Below are 16,113 nucleotides of genomic sequence, written 5' to 3' on the forward strand. Positions count from 1 at the left end.
CAGCATCATCTGGACCAGTCCAGACCTGGTAAATCAGAATCTTCTGGTGGTAGAGACTATTACTGACGGGGTACTATGTTGGAAGAAAGTCTGTTAAGAAGGGAAGGGTTTTTGAAATTCACAAATGAAGTGCAAATGGCCAATTAACACGTGACAAATTGTTCAACCTCAATAGTAAATGCAAACTAAAACAATAGTAAGAGACCAGTAATCTTCTACATTCTACATATTGACCATTTTGCCCTAGAGGGCCTTATCTAATTCTCCAGAAAAACCTCCTAAAGTCATGAAAGATAGAGGGCAATGCTTGTGCTACCACAGCCACTATTTTCTCTGATTTGAGTGTATATACATATCTGGCGAGGAATGTCTATAAGCTGAGGAAAGAAATAAATTTGTATAAGAGGTACCACATTAATTAAGAGCCCTGGTGGCCAGTTTTATTTACATATTTACAAATATATCAATCTCCCAAGTCTTAAAATTGACTTAGGGGACCAAGTTCATATTATTGTAATTGTAGCTTTAATGGAAGCAAAAAATGTTTCCTGAATGAATACAGTAACTTACCATTTTTTCACTTCTTCCACTTACTCATTCATTCCTTCAGCTAATATGTATTGACCATCTGCTATGTGCCCAGGCATTGGGGATGAAGCAGTGAACAAGACAGACACTGTCCCTGCTCTCATGAAGCTCAACGCTCACTGGAGCTGAAAAACAGGAATAATATCATCTGCTTTATAGGCCAACTTCTATTTTTTACAAAAACCTTTTACTTCATGTCATTATGTTTGAGGGATGTAATTTGAGTCTGTATCATGGATAAATCCAAAGGCCAACAAAGTTCTGTGGTAATTAGTTTTCAGACTATAAGTATAAAGAGATTCATGCTTCAGTAATTTGTTATGGATGTTAGCCTACTTTTTAGTCTTTAAATTGATATATGAAGCCAACTCCATTTATTTGTAATATATACATATTATATACGTATTAAGCTTTCAATAATTATTTTTCAGAACCAACAAGCCAAAATAGCACAATTGTACCTCCCCTTTGTTGGACTACTTTTGGAAAATATACAGCGATTAGCAGGTCGAGATACCTTGTATTCTTGTGCAGCCATGCCTAATTCTGTAAGTAGTAATGTGTTTCTGTTGGAGTTTTATCCTATTTTATTGAATGCATTTGGAATTGGGGTCATATGCTATATGATCTCAACCTTAAGAGTTCACTTTTTTTTTTTTTTTTTTTTTTGAGCCAGAGTCTCGCTCTATCACCCAGGCTGGAGTGTAGTGGCACAATCATAGTTCACTGTAGTCTCAAACTCCTGTGCTCAAGTGATCCTCCTGCTTTGGCCTCCCGAGTGGCTGGGACTACAGGCATACGCCACCATGCCCAGCTAATGTTTTTCATTTTTAGCAGAGACAGGGTCTCACTGTGCAGCCCAGGCTGATCTCAAACTCCTGAGCTCAAGGAATCCTCCCCTCTCAGCCCCGTGAAGTGCTGGGATTACAGGCATGAGCCACCGTGCCCAGCCAAGAGTTCAGTTTTTACTCCATGTACACTGTTTTTCCTAATACAGTGCTTTGCAAACTTTAATCTGCATATGAATCACCTGGGGAATTTGTTAAAACAGGTTTTTTTTTTTTTGAGACAGAGTCTCGCTCTGTCGCCCAGGCTGGAGTGCAGTGGCGTGATCTCGGCTCACTGCAACCTCCGCCTCCTGGGTTCAAGGGATTCTCCTGCCTCAGCCTCCTGAATAGCTGGGACTACAGGTGCCCGCCACCATGCCTGGCTAATTTTTTTGTATATTTAGTAGAGACGGTGTTTCACCATGTTAGCCAGGCTGGTCTGGAACATCTGACCTCAGGTGATCTACCCACCACGGCCCCCAAAGTGCTAGGATTACAGGCGTGAGGCACCACACCTAGCCAACAGATTTTAATTCAATAGACCTGGGGTGGGACTTGAGAGCATGCATTTCTAACAAGCTTTTGGCTGCTTCTGGTCCAAAGATTGCACTTTGGAAAACAAATTCCAAGAGAACACCACAAATCCTTTGAACGCTGTGTTTTCGTTCTTAACATTTTCTGTTGTTGTATGGCTTCATACATTTATTCAACTTAAACTGAACAAAAGATTCTCTACTTCCAAGATATTAGGCACTGGGGACTAAACTGTATTCCTTTGCTTCTCCTTTCCCTTAGTAGTCTCCTTCAGCACTTCTTGGTGAGACTCTTTTAGTTTATCACAATTGGTCTGTGCTTTTTTTGCTCCCCTTAGAATTTTAAGAATTAGAAGGAACTTTGGAGGTGATCAGTCTCCTATTTGGCAAAACAACCTTTTGCCATTGTAATAATTTAAACATTCCTTCTCACATTAGACCTAAAAGGTTTTCTATCCACTGGTCTTACTTTTGTCTTCTAGAGACACATGAAACACATCTGTTCCCACCTCCAAATGTACCCTTTCCACTTGTGCCTTCTAAATTTTTCTCCAAGCCACCAAATATCTCCACTAATCTGTCATTCCAAATCCTTTACTTTTTTTTTTTTTTTTTTGAGACAGAGTCTAAGTCTGTCACCCAGGCTAAAGTGCAGTGGCATGATCTCAGCTCACTGCAATCTCTGCCTCCTGGGTTCAAGTGATTCTCCTGCCTCAGCCTCCTGAGTAGCTGGGACTACAGGCATGCGCCACCACGCCCGGCTAATTTTTTTTGTACTTTTAGTAGAGACGGGGGGTTTCACCATGTTGGCCAAGCTGGTCTTGAAATCCTGACCTCAAGTGATCTGCCTGCCTCAGCCTCCCAAAGTGCTGGAATTATAGGCATGAGCCACTGTGCCCGGTCCCCAAAACCCTTTGCTTTCGTGGTCACCCCTTTTCCAAATATGCTTCAGTTTACCAGTAACCCTATTAAAATACAATGTCCAAATTATACACTTTATAGTCTGCCCAGTGGACTGTTAACTTCTGCCCCCATCCATGTTCTGTATGGCCCAAGATCACCTTTGCACTTTGGCTGGCCACGTAATATTGTTGGGTAGCAGGTTAAACTGTGTCATTTACAGCTTCCTCTGCAAATTCCCCCTATGAAATGCTACAGCCAATTTGTCATGCCTGTCCTGTGTTCCTGAGGACGTTGCTTTTAAGCTTTTCTAGTGGCTTGCTTCCCTGTGACTCCCAGTCATGTCAACTGGCTGAATGTGGATACTACACCTACCTGAGTGTCAGGCTGGTCTCACTTTACAAATACAGTATCTCATGCTTATGCTCCCTCCACATAGATTTGACAGCATTATTTGGAAATATTTCACTTCTCTGTATTCTTTGCAGCTCAAGTTTCCCTAGGGCTTCTGGTCACACACCTTCTTCTAGCATTGCCCTGGTTCTAAGGAGGAGAACTGAATCATGTTAAGACTTTACCAGGCTGGGCGCCGTGGCACATGCCTGTAATCCCAGCACTTGGGGAGGCCAAGGCAGGAGGATCACTTGAGTCCAGGAGTTTGAGACCAACCTAGGCAACATGGGAAAACCCCATCTCTAAAAAAATGAAAAATTAGCTGGGTGTGGTGGTGTATACCTGTAGTCCTGGCTAATCTGGAGGCTGAAGTGAGAGGGTCACTTGAGCCCAGGAGGTTGAGGCTACAGTGAGCTATGATCATGCCACCGCACTCTAGCCTGGACTACACAGCAAGACCCTGTCTCAGAAAACGAAAACAAAAAAGACTGTACCAGTTGCAGCTGTACCAGTTGCAGCTATCTAGAATTATGTCACTTGGCTAGAGGTCATGGTTACAACAGTATGCTAGTAGCTTTTTTTTTTTAAAAAAGAGTCACCTAAATACTAATTACTAGTATCTGATTTAGACTTTCACAGTGAGCTTTGTTTAAAATCAATGTAACATTTTATTCTGTTAATTCAGATTTCTTATCCTATATACGAATTTGTTTAAATGACACAGGTATCATATTCTGTTACAGGCATCCAGAGATGAGTTTCCATGTGGCTTTACTTCACCTGCCAATAGAGGGAGTCTGAGCACTGACAAAGACACCGGTAATTAAACCTTTTGGAGATGATACATTGCGTGGGTGTTTAGACATGTACCCTCTACTTCTCAGTATTTTTGATATATTTCATAATAAAGACCATACATAGCTTGATCTCTACTAAAGTTTAATTAAAATCTGACTTATACTTGCAGTCAAATTTATTTGCCTAGGTTTCCTTGTCTAAGCTTATTTAGAACATAGCTTGGCATACTGAGAAAATAGAGGATAATGAGAAAAATACTGGTTTCCACTCTTCTTATCTGTCACCAGTTTTAAGCCAGATACTCCCATCTATGGGCTCAAGTTTCCTTGTCTATAAAATTGTCTTTTAAATTGTGTGGCTTTATTTTACGGCTTCCAAGGAATTTCTTGTCATTTTGTACATGCTAAAGTGTTTTGAAAGGTGAAAAGTTGCTTCACTTTTACATGGTTTCTTATGGTGTTTTGATATAATAAACTTCACATTTTAGATGTCCAAGATCTATTCCCTACATTAATGTCTCTACTTAAATTAGTTCCGTACTTTTTAAATATTTCTGACAGTTCCCCCTCTTGCCAACAAGGGCTTGACTTTTTTTTTTCCCCAGCTTATGGGTCTTTTCAAAATGGACATGGAATTAAGAGAGAAGATTCAAGAGGTTCCCTCATCCCAGAAGGAGCAACAGGATTTCCAGATCAGGGCAACACTGGTGAAAATGTAAGAACTTAAATATATAGGATGACCCTAGTGACACATTAGCCTGCAACAATTTTTTTATAGTATAAATATGAGCATCTGTACTCACCTGTAGTCCATCCTGGCTCTGCGAAAAGCATCCCATAATTCTTAGATATTTTAGCAGTATCTTCCTATAGTGGCAGCTGCTACTTCAATGTCTTAAACTATTTATAGAGAATAAGGCATTCATCCTCAAGAGTTCTAACTCTGAATATCTCCTTTAACCCTAGCACGCTATTTTAGTGAGGAGAAATTCAAGTTTAAAATATCTAATGTGCCTTGTTATTTAAAACGAAGCACATCCTGGCAGGATTAATGCAGTCTTTCATTCTTTTGTAATAGAGTAATGATATTAATTTGGGAGGAAAAAATATAGGTCCCAAAATTGACAATCTTAGGGTCCCAGCATCACTTAATCAGAATATATCCTCCCAACTCTTCTATCAAGTCGTTTCACGCCTACCATTAAAGTTTGAGATGTGACTGCCTTAAGGCAGAAAGACCTCATTTTAGACGAGTAAAGTTTTGCCATGTTGTTATGTAAAATCATTGAATCGTATAAAATTATATTAGAAGGGACTATAAGAACAATAAATTCCAACTCTCAATTTACAAATGAAAATTGGGATTATGACTTAGAACAACCAGCTATGGCAGGACCATACTCGAACCCAGATTTTCTAATATGAGCACTTTGTCTCCTATATCATGGTGCTCTTAGTGTACATCAGCATCACCTGGAGGGCTTAAAAAATAGATGTCTGGGCCTCACCCCAGGGTGAGATTCAGTAAGTCTGGAATAGGGCCTGCTAACATGTATTTCTAAGTTCCCAGGTGATGTTGATGCTGCTGGTTGGGTATTGTTACCCTTGAGAACCAGTGGACTATACTTCCACTGGTTCCTTGAGCCTTTGGGTAAACAGTAATTTATTCACAAATGTTTCTCTTTTACACCATTTAGAAATTGTGACAACAGGTACTGTCATAGCTAAGGCAAATAAAGGTCAGAGAGGTTGAATGACTTGCTAGTAGTCACATAGTAGCTAGGCAAGCAATCAGAACCTAGGTCTGTTTGCTCCAAGTAAAAGTTCTTCCTTAGTAAATTCCACCCTAGTCAATGGTGCATCCCCAGTTTAGCTCAACTGAAAGTATTAGTTTTTAAATTTTTTAGATTATTGTTATTCTATTCATATAAATCCCCAAATAAGTCAGATCTTGTCATGCTTAATTTCTGATATTTTTTAAAAAGTCATTAAATAATAGGAACACATCAGTACTTTGTAGAGGTACTAATTTTGAAGTATTATTGGGTACTCCTAAGTGTAATTATCGTAATATAATTAGCCCATTTTTTAATTTATTTATAGTTTTTAGAAATAGGGTCTTGCTCTGTCACCCAGGCTGGAGTGCAGTGACACGATCAGTGCTCACTGCAGCCTTGAACTCCTGGGCTCAAGCAGTCTTCCTGCCTCAGCCTCCTGAGTAGCTAGGACTACAGGCATGCACCATCACACCCAGCTAAATTTTTTTTTTTTTTTTTTTTGTAGAGACAGGTTTTGCTATATTGCCCAGGCTGGTATTAAACTCCTGGCCTCAAGTGATCCTCCCACCTGAGCGTCCCAAAACGCTGGGTCTACAGGTGTGGGCTACTGCGCCTGGTTTTATTAGCCCTTAAGATAGATTTTCTAATGTATGATTTGGAGGTTGGATTTTAATAAACTCTAAGGAAAGATTCAAATGAAAAAGTTTAAGATGTTTCTTATGCTTTCACTCCATGTAAAAGCTATCTTTCCTTAAATAGCCATGATTATTTTAAAATTTTACCACTAAAACACATGGCATATGAGAATGAAACACAGTATTCATGGCTATATCTTTGTGAAGACTCCAAGGTAATTTCTAGTGATATTACTAGCTATTACTAGGAAAGAAAGATTCAGCCCATTCACCTTCAAGTTGTGATATAAAATTTAGATTTATGTTTAGAATTTTCCCAAACAGATCTAATGATAAAAAAAGAGTTACTGAGTTAAAGGCTGTGGAAAATTGTACTGATACTATTTCACGAACATCCTGTCCTTACAGACCCGACAGAGTTCTACAAGGAGTAGTGTATCCCAGTATAACCGCCTGGATCAGTATGAAATCAGAAGCCTCCTGATGTGCTACCTGTATATAGTAAAAATGATTTCAGAAGGTGAGTTACCATCATATTAAGCATGGACTGTACTAGACATACACCCTCACAGGTTCACAAATTCATGCAACAATATTTGATCATCATCTGGAGGCAGAGCACATGCACATTATAAACAGTTATTTGGAGACTCTGACTTTAAAATGTTTCTTAAATTGAACTTCAAAATAGGTTCATGTCAGTCACACAAGTTCGAGTCTTTGAAATAATTTTAACATAATTTTGCAAATGAATTTCTAAAATGAGGCAATGGTTTTAGAAGTGCTAAACATTTTGTTTTCATGCAGAGCATTTAATTCATTAAATGACCAATGTAACTGAAAGGAAATAATAACCACCAGAATTCATATTTAATACTTCAGCTTTTATTTAACCCAGGATTTGACAAATAAGAAACAAAAAGACAGGAAGAGTTCTTGAAGGGTAGGGAATGTCATCATTATCTTTGCAGCAACACTGTATGATATTGTCTGGTATCGCGTTCTTTGTCGGGCTCTGTTTTTTCTCCTTGGTATAGAGCCGTATTTACTAGTGTCACCAGTTCCTCTTTACACTATATGATGGAATACAACCGAAGGACTTTCATAAACTGCATGTCCTCGGGAAGTAAAAGCAGGTTATTTCCAAATACCACATTTACTTAGACAGTTCCCTCCCTTCTCTTCCTTTTCGCAATACTTTTGCTTAAAAAAAAAAAATGCAAAAATGGAAAACATAAAAGCACCTGGGATCATCATAGTGATTGCTATCTTTTACTCATTTTCTATTTTTTTATTTTTAGTAATTATTTCGTTTTAAATATTTTATAATAATGCAGGATGTAAAGACATAAAATAAGTTGATATCTAAGTAGCTATAGAAACATTAAAATAAATAGCTAGATATGAGTAAATTCTAAAGTTCATTAATAAAATAAAAATAACTGGAATATTCAAGTTCTAGGAATGTACGATTTAGCATAAATATCAAACATTATGTTGTGGAATCTGGAAATTGCTAACATTTATGGAGTTTCTTCTTAAGGCAATGAAAATGTTCTAAAACTGTGGTGAAGGTTTCCTTAGTCTTTGAATAAACTATAAACTATTGTAATATTGTGGGCTATTTATGTGGGCATTTTTATGATAAATGAATCTCTCAGTAAATGTTTTTTTTTAAAAAGAGGCCCAATCTTTATCTGTTCTCCACTCCCATTGCCACTTGACTAGCCTTAAAAAAAATAGGTCCAAGAGATACATTAGAAAAAAAGCAGAAGTGAACAAAAAAGCGGTTGAATACCACCACAGCCCAAAGAATGAGGGAAAGAGAGAGAAGGTAGGAGGAGGGGAAAAGCTGCATTGCTGACTAGTTCTCTCCCCTCCTCCACTGTAGGTCTCACACACACATACACACACATATACATCACATTCTATACTAACCAGAGACAAGTCTCTGGTTGTTATTTTTAATGTCATGGGTAAAACCATGACTGTTTTTGTTTTGAAGATGGAGTCTCACTCTGTCGCCTAGGCTGGAGTGCAGTGGCAGGATCTCAGCTCACTGCAACCTCCACCTCCCAGGTTCAAGTGATTCTCCTGTTTCAGCCTCCCGAGTAGCTGGGACTACAGGCGCCCGCCACCACGCCCGGCTAATTTGTTTATTTTTAGTAGAGATGGGGTTTCACGGTGTTAGCCAGGATGGTCTCGATCTCCTGACCTCGTGATCCGCCCACCTCGGCCTCCCAAAGTGCTGGGATTACAGGCGTGAGCCACCACACCCGGCCCATGACTGTTTTATTTCTTGTGAACTTGATAGTTCCTCTTATTCTTGCAAATGTTGACCATGCTTGCTCAGTGGCAGTACTCTGTGCCGAATATTCAGTCTTTGTTAATTAGGTTTTGTAGTCTTCTGCTCTTGCTTTTTGATTTTAAAAAGCACATTTTCAATAACTAGTATACAGTCTATGTCACATCTGTTTATCTTTTATATGTATAAAGTCATGCTGTATATCTGTAAAGTCATATTCATTTTGTTCTAAGAAATGTCTTCTAGATCCTTCTCAATGGATGTATTCTAATTACTTTGTCTTGTCCGGTAAATATTGTTTTAGTTACTCTATATGCATTTAAATATTTATCTCTTTCAAGTCCACAATCTTGAGGTCCTCTCTTGGCTTTCTTTTTTATTGAGTCATAAACAGTAGCAACTTTAATGTCAATGAAAAGATGTTCTATCTCTACACTTTTATATGGATTCTGGAGAATAAATTTCATTCTCTACTTATAGCTGCATTTTATTAATTGACAAAAATTTGCTATTTCAAAGTCTTAGATTCATTTGCCAAACATTTTCAGGCCTTACTGCTTAGTTTATTATATCGTGAGAAAAGGAATAAGAGTCAGGAGTTACCAGTTACGAAGTCTGAATTGACAAGAAGACTGTTCTGTTGGAAAAGTAAAACATTGTTGCTTCCTTAAGAGAGAAGGTGGTGGGGGGCGGTGGGGGGGGGGGTGAGGGGGGTGGGGGGGATGGGGAAGCTACTTCCTCTTTCTTTGTGACTGTGTCTTCACTTTTCTCTTTAGCCCAGACTCCAAAAAGACACTCTCAGTATCACATTGAGGCTTATCGGCACCATACCCTGCACTTGTAGATTCATTAATATTCTCCGAAGCAGACTGTTCATTGGAAGGTATCTGGTTAGAGCTATCTCTCACTGCAAATTTGGTGTTAGAAGGAATAGCAACCACTGCTCTTCTTTTTGTACTAGATTTTAAAGTAGAGTCTAAAGGCAAGACATTCAAAGGGATTATTTTCTTTTCCTTTGCAAGAGGGCTATATGAGGTTATAGAATAATCCTCTAAAGTTTCCAGTAAACTTTCAGATACATGAGTTGGGTATTCTCCTGGGGAGATAGCGGAAGGGTTCCATGATGTGCCAATCTGAGTTTCTTTTTGCGGGGAGACCTTTGTTTCAAGTGTCCCTTTTGGCTGGCCAATCTTGTCTTCATGAAGATTGAAAAAATCTTGAAATTCATACCTCTTTTGAGGACTAAGTGAAGTTGTTAAAAGAGAACTTGCCAGTGGCTTCTGGCTGGCAGGGTCTTCTATGTTAGGCTTAGTGTCATTAGAGGAACTTTTCGCAAAAGAGGTCTCTGGCACTTCAAAGAGGCCTTGACTAAAAGATGGAGCTGGAAACTCTGAACTTTGTTGCAGTTCCTTTGTGCTCGTAGGTTTCATCTGCTTACTTTGTGACTGGCTTATCGATTTGATAGGCACATGCCTCTGCCTTCCTTGTGCAGGCTCCCTGACTGAAAAATCTGACATAGTCATTTGACTACCAGAAACGAAGTCATCACTACCAGAAGTCTGAAATTGTTGTTGCCTCATTATTATTTTAGAAAGCCTTTTATTTTCTTCTCGTAATTTATTTGTTTCTTTAGTGAGTTCCGCAATAAAGAAAAGATTTTGTTGTTGGATTTCATAATAGTCTTTCTCTAGCGCAAGCCTGTATGTTTCTGTCATTGAACAGCAGTCACAGGTTTTTGCCTTTAACTGATCTTTCAAGTCATTAATGGTGCTCTGCAGGACTCTCTGCTGTTTAGTCAACTCTTTAATTTTGGCTGTGGAGCCCGTCCGCCTCCCGTCTGACAATCGCTGTTTCCTCAGACTTGTTAATTTTGCCTGTAGACGCCGCAGCTCTTTATCATGGAGCTCTTTTAGCGCCAGCCATGTTTTTTTAAAATTGTCAGATTCCAAATCACATACACTAAGCCGTGATGATTCTCTTCCTGAAGATTTCTTACAACCTCTCCTCCCTCCTACACCCTCGTTCCCTGCCTGCATCATGTTTCACAGATTTGGAAATGGGAGGGATGGCCTCGTCGCTCAACAACAGTGCCGTTAAGAAAATGGCGGACTTGCAGTGGATTGGAGCTAGTTCGCTGTGAGGGCGAGCACTTTTACCCCTTTCACAGACCTTCTCCGAAGCTACCTTAGGACATGGGGCGAGGGAGATGGGTGCTCACCGTTGGACGCAAAGTCCCAGGTTTTCGCTGGAGAGGAGGCACCAACTTTTCGGCTAGAAGAGCTAACCCACAGGAGAGGGAGGCCAGCACCCTCAGGCAGTGGCGCAGCAAGCTGCCCTTTGACCGGAGGCCGGAAACGCAGGGACTTCTGGGGGGGAACCCAAGCTTCTGTGAGTAGACACCCAGTGGCAGATAGGCGAAAGCGGAAGTCACTGCTAGCTTGATATATATTTTTTTAATTTAATTTTTTTTAGATGGAGTCTCACTCTGTTGAGCCCAGGCTGGAGAGCAGTGGCGCGATCTCAGCTCACTGCAACCTCCGCCTCCCGGGTTCAAGCAATTCTCCTGCCTCAGCCTCCTGAGTAACTGGGATTACAGGCGCGCCACCACGCCCAACTAATTTTTGTATTTTTAGTAGAGACAGGGTTTCACGATGTTGGTCAGGCTGGTCTCGAATTCCTGACTTCAGATCCACCCGCCTCGGCCTCCGAAAGTGCTGGGATTACAGGCGTGACCCACTGGGCCTGGCCTAATTTTTAAAACAAGTCAAATTTTGAGTCTATTTTCAGTTTTATTCTTGATGATTAGCATTTTGTAATAATTGAAACCTAGCAATATTCGTGGTCTTATAAAACAATTGGAAAATTGGAAGTAACTAAGTCGACCTCCCCTGTTCCCTCATCCTCCTTGCCCCTCCATAAAGCCAACATTGTCTTGTCTTCCATCTTTATCATTGAGAGGTTCTAGCTCAGTTGGGAATTAAGTCATTTGCCTGCTTTTGTGACACCTATGCGATTTTTACAGTTAGAGGAGGGTCTGCTGACACCATTAGCTCCATCAAAGTAGGATAAAAAAGGAGTGGAAAGTCAAGTGGTGGCACTGTTTGTTTTGTTTTGTTTTGTTTTAAATCTCACTAAGTAGGTGTGTTGGGGAAGAAATGGGTAAGAAAGAGAAGTATATGTGATAGATTTAAGAGACTTTTGTGTCTGAAATAGTTGTTCCACAGATAGATAGGACATCAGAATTTATAATGCAAAGGCAGAGAGAAAAAGGAAAGTTATCTGTCTCTCCTGAAGTTTAAAATTCTCTTTTTTATTTTTATTATTTTTTTTGAGACGGAGTCTCACTCTGTCGCCCAGGCTGGAGTGCAGTGGCACGATCTCAGCTCACTGCAACCTCCACCTCCCAGGTTCAAGTGATTCTCCTGCCTCAGCCTCCCGAGTAGCTGGGATTATAGGCGCTGGCCACCACGCCCAGCTAATTTTTATATTTTTAGTAGAGAAGGGGTTTCATCATGTTGTCCAGGTTGGCCTCGAGCTCCTGACCTCAAGTGATACGCCCACCTTGGCCTCCCAAAGTGCTGGATTACAGATGTGAGCTACCGCAACCAGGCTGAAGTTTAAAATTCTTAAACCTTTTTATTCACAGAGCCCTCTGAGTAGCAGGCAACGGCATTTGACCTTCTCAGAAAAATGCACATAAACACACCATCTGGCATAAAATTTTAGGGAGTTCATTCAAAACACCTCATCTAAAGTAAAAACACAGCAACTTCCCTTACTCTGTCTTCAGAAATGATACGAAGATTGGGATAAGCGACCCAAAAGGACATACACAAAGCACATAAAAAGGATCATTGATGCTGAACTAATTACCAATTAAATGATATATTTGGAATTAATTCAAAAGAATACAGAGTGTATACTGCGCAGTGGGAGGGGAGAGGAGAATATAGATGAAACAAGATTCACCTTGAGTTGATAGTCCTTGAAGCTACATAGGACTTGGGGATTCACTGTGCTATTTGCTGTAATTATTTCAAGATCTAACACTTTATTTATTCCATTTTCAGATACTCTCTTAACTTACTGGAATAAAGTATCACCTCAGGAGCTCATAAACATTCTTATACTTTTAGAGTAAGTTATATTAATTTATCTTCATATACTTTCCCCTTATTTGGGGAGAATTCAACTGTTACAATTTTTTCTGTTTTTAATAGCTTATTTGCTAATAATGTAGAAAATGTTAAATTATTTTGATAATATAGAGCCTGACATAGAGGTTCTTTACCTGCAGACAGAAGAAAAATGTGAACGTGGAATACTTTGTATACTGCTGAAACTCTAGCTAATAATAAACCATCTTTAAAGCCCAGCAAAAGGCTTTCTGTGATCTGAAAAACTAGAAGTAGTATCATCTGTCGTGCATCATTCATTTGGAACAGATGCTGGATTAGTGGAGCAGTGTAAATGATTGGAATTTAGAATTTGTACTTTCATGTAGAGCTGAGTAATTCTACCCACTGCAGAAATGTGTCTGTGTATTTGTGTGTACACACACACACACACACACACACACACACACACACGTGTATATGTATGTATTCCAAGACTCTTGGGGGGAAACCTAGTCTGGACATGGGAAGTTGTCCTATATTTCATCCTGAGCTATTTTTATATGATTATTGGAAGCTAAAAGAAAAATTAGAGATAGAATGAAATGCAATAAATTTTTAAATAAATAGTACACGTATATGATTTGTATGTGCATGTCTACAAAAACAAAGCATATCAATACAAAACCCTTGGATTAAAGTCTTACAAACTTTTACGGAAAATGTCAGAAGAATAAACAGCAGTTAAGATTTTTTTTTAACTACTGTAATTGTACTGAAATATTTACTAATGAAAATATCTGATGTTGGGGATTTGCTTTAGAAACACAGGGGTAGGGAGGGTGGAGGGATATCAGGGGACCTATTCAGGGCAGAGGTCAAACAAGAATAGCCATGAGTTCAATCATTGTTGAATCTGGGGGATGATTGGGTATGTAGGAGTTAACTATGGTACTCTCCCTACTTTTGTACGCGTTTGAAATTTTTAATAATATAAAGTATTTTAATGCTATTATTTAAAATGTAGAAATTGCCCCAATTTTTAGTGTGGAAGAACCTTTTAGAGATATTATTGACTATGCTGGCGGGCCAGGCGTGGTGGCTCACGCCTGTAATCCCAGCACTTTGGGAAGCTGAGGCAGGAGGATCACTTGAGCCCAGGAGTTTGAGAGCAGCCTGGGCAACATAGTGAGACCTGATCTCTACAAAAAATAAAACATTAGCTGGGCATGGTGATGTGCACCTGTGGTTCCAGGTACTTGGGAGGCAGAGGTGAGAGAATAATTTGAGCCTGGGAGGTCGAGGCTGCAGTGAGCCGCGCATGATCATTCCACTGCCTTCCAGCATGGGTGACAGAGCGAGGTCCTGTGTCAAAAATAAAAAATGACTGATGGAGACCTTTGCTATGATAAGTTACAGAGCATAAAGGGTGATTTGCATTGACAGGTTTTTTAAACCTGTCATTAAAATTGTATATGAAAACATGATGTAATTGTAGCAAATAAATGTAGAAAGAGAATATGGCAAGCCCGCAATTAATTATCTATGTATTTCTGTATAGCAAAACACTTATCATTATAATATGATTTAAATAGGCTATTCTTTGTAACTTATGACTTTTAAAATATCACTTGTTAATCTGTAGAGGATGTTAATATATTACTAACATGCTATTGTTTTTCTTTCTAGAGTATGCTTGTTTCACTTTAGATATATGGGGAAAAGAAACATAGCAAGGTAATTCCCATAGCACTGCAATTTCTACTTTTTCCTTCTCTTCCAACAGAGGGCAATCTTAGTCATGCCATGTAAAACCTAGGTTGCATACTTTGAGTTAACATTGGGATACCGGTGATTTAGTTAACATGTCCCAATTGAAAGTTTAAACGAATGGGAACTTTTACATTTTCAAGCTTCCCAAGGAGTGATGATTAAAGTGATATACAGAGTTTCTACCTTGTGAGATGCTTATCTTTTCTAAAGGAATCCAGAAGAGGCTAGATCCAGGGGAAGGCAGGAAATCATAAAGTGAGGACAACTGTAAGGTCTGTATTTTTGTCTGAAAACTATCAATACTCACCTCAGTTACTAAAGCAAATAGAAATCCCCAACAGCAATTGGGACATAAATGATACATTATCTATTTCCTCTTTTTGCCATGTAAGTCCTAGTGAAATAAATACTTAAGGAAATATTTGAGAGATTCTAAGGTGAAGAAGGTTACTTGCTTATTTCAATGAGATGTATTTTAGGGGTAGAGTTAGTCATTAAAGGAGCTCAAAAACAGTTTTAAAAAATGTTTAATTTTTAAGAGGCTGTGTGGATGGGGATTACTGTTCAGTCTCTGGAACGTCCTAAGGATAGGTAGTTTGGGTGGTGAGGGTTCCAATTTCAACCATGTTTTCCCATAAGTTGGAGCTGGTATGGCCATTGTTACCATGAACCTCAGTCTCTAGGATTCTGTCAACTCTCCCACTACGTTTACTAGAGGATAAACAAACTATTTCTTCCTTAGTCCATGTATGACCCAGTTGTAATTTTTTAAATGGAAACAACATTAAAGTAAAACAAAGAAAAGTTTGTTCATCTTAGCAATGGACATGCTTACAGAGTAAAAATTTCTAATCCAAACTTACCTCAGGTTCAGAAACAGATTAGATTGGCATTCATTCTTGAACATCTGGCTCTAGGAGTTTCCCCTCTCATTTCAACTCTTAGTGAACCTCTGGCTGTCTTCTTCCCACTCTTGCCCTTCCTCACCTCCTGTGAAAAGATTAAATCTTATTGGAGTGTTGGCCACTTATCTCTGATGTTTTTGAGAAGAAGGAGGGAAGTGGAAGCTCTTTCTAAATTCCTTAATTATATTCATATATGCTATTTTAAAGATACATTAAAACTTCATCCAGTTTCTAGTGACACTTCATTTAATCCTTGAGTGTACTACTATGTTTATGTGGAAACCTAATTTTTTTTAGTTAAAAAGATGATAACATTGAGATATGTTATTAGAGCACTCCAGTTCCTGACTTTAAAATTTATTTTAGGGTGCATGATGCCTGGCTGTCAAAACACTTCGGAATAGACCGAAAATCGCAAACCATGCCTGCTCTTCGAAACAGATCAGGAGTAATGCAGGCCCGGCTTCAGCATCTTAGTAGCCTAGAAAGTTCATTTACACTTAATCACAGTAAGTGAAAATGTGTGTGTGGTACCCATTTGACCTTAAAGAAGTCCTGGTTTAA

At 39.1% G+C, this 16,113-nt stretch overlaps 1 protein-coding gene and 1 pseudogene across 6 annotated transcripts in view; one reads left to right on the forward strand and one right to left on the reverse strand.

The window, feature by feature from the left end:
• Positions 1 to 16,113, forward strand: part of DOCK11 (dedicator of cytokinesis 11) — a 190,333-nt gene that overhangs the window by 127,705 nt on the left and 46,515 nt on the right. For all 6 annotated transcript variants that reach the window (XM_005262368.5, NM_144658.4, XM_011531276.4 and 3 more), the window contains 7 exons: positions 1,020 to 1,136; positions 3,985 to 4,060; positions 4,644 to 4,753; positions 6,860 to 6,971; positions 12,827 to 12,893; positions 14,561 to 14,608; positions 15,916 to 16,058. In XM_005262368.5, coding sequence (XP_005262425.1) covers positions 1,020 to 1,136; positions 3,985 to 4,060; positions 4,644 to 4,753; positions 6,860 to 6,971; positions 12,827 to 12,893; positions 14,561 to 14,608; positions 15,916 to 16,058 — 673 coding nt within the window. The remainder of the gene's footprint in view (positions 1 to 1,019; positions 1,137 to 3,984; positions 4,061 to 4,643; positions 4,754 to 6,859; positions 6,972 to 12,826; positions 12,894 to 14,560; positions 14,609 to 15,915; positions 16,059 to 16,113) is intronic.
• RBBP8P1 (RBBP8 pseudogene 1) lies at positions 8,844 to 10,711 on the reverse strand (annotated as a pseudogene).

Source organism: Homo sapiens, chromosome X (genome assembly GCF_000001405.40).
Source record: "Homo sapiens chromosome X, GRCh38.p14 Primary Assembly".
NCBI classification, from domain to species: Eukaryota; Metazoa; Chordata; class Mammalia; order Primates; family Hominidae; genus Homo; species Homo sapiens.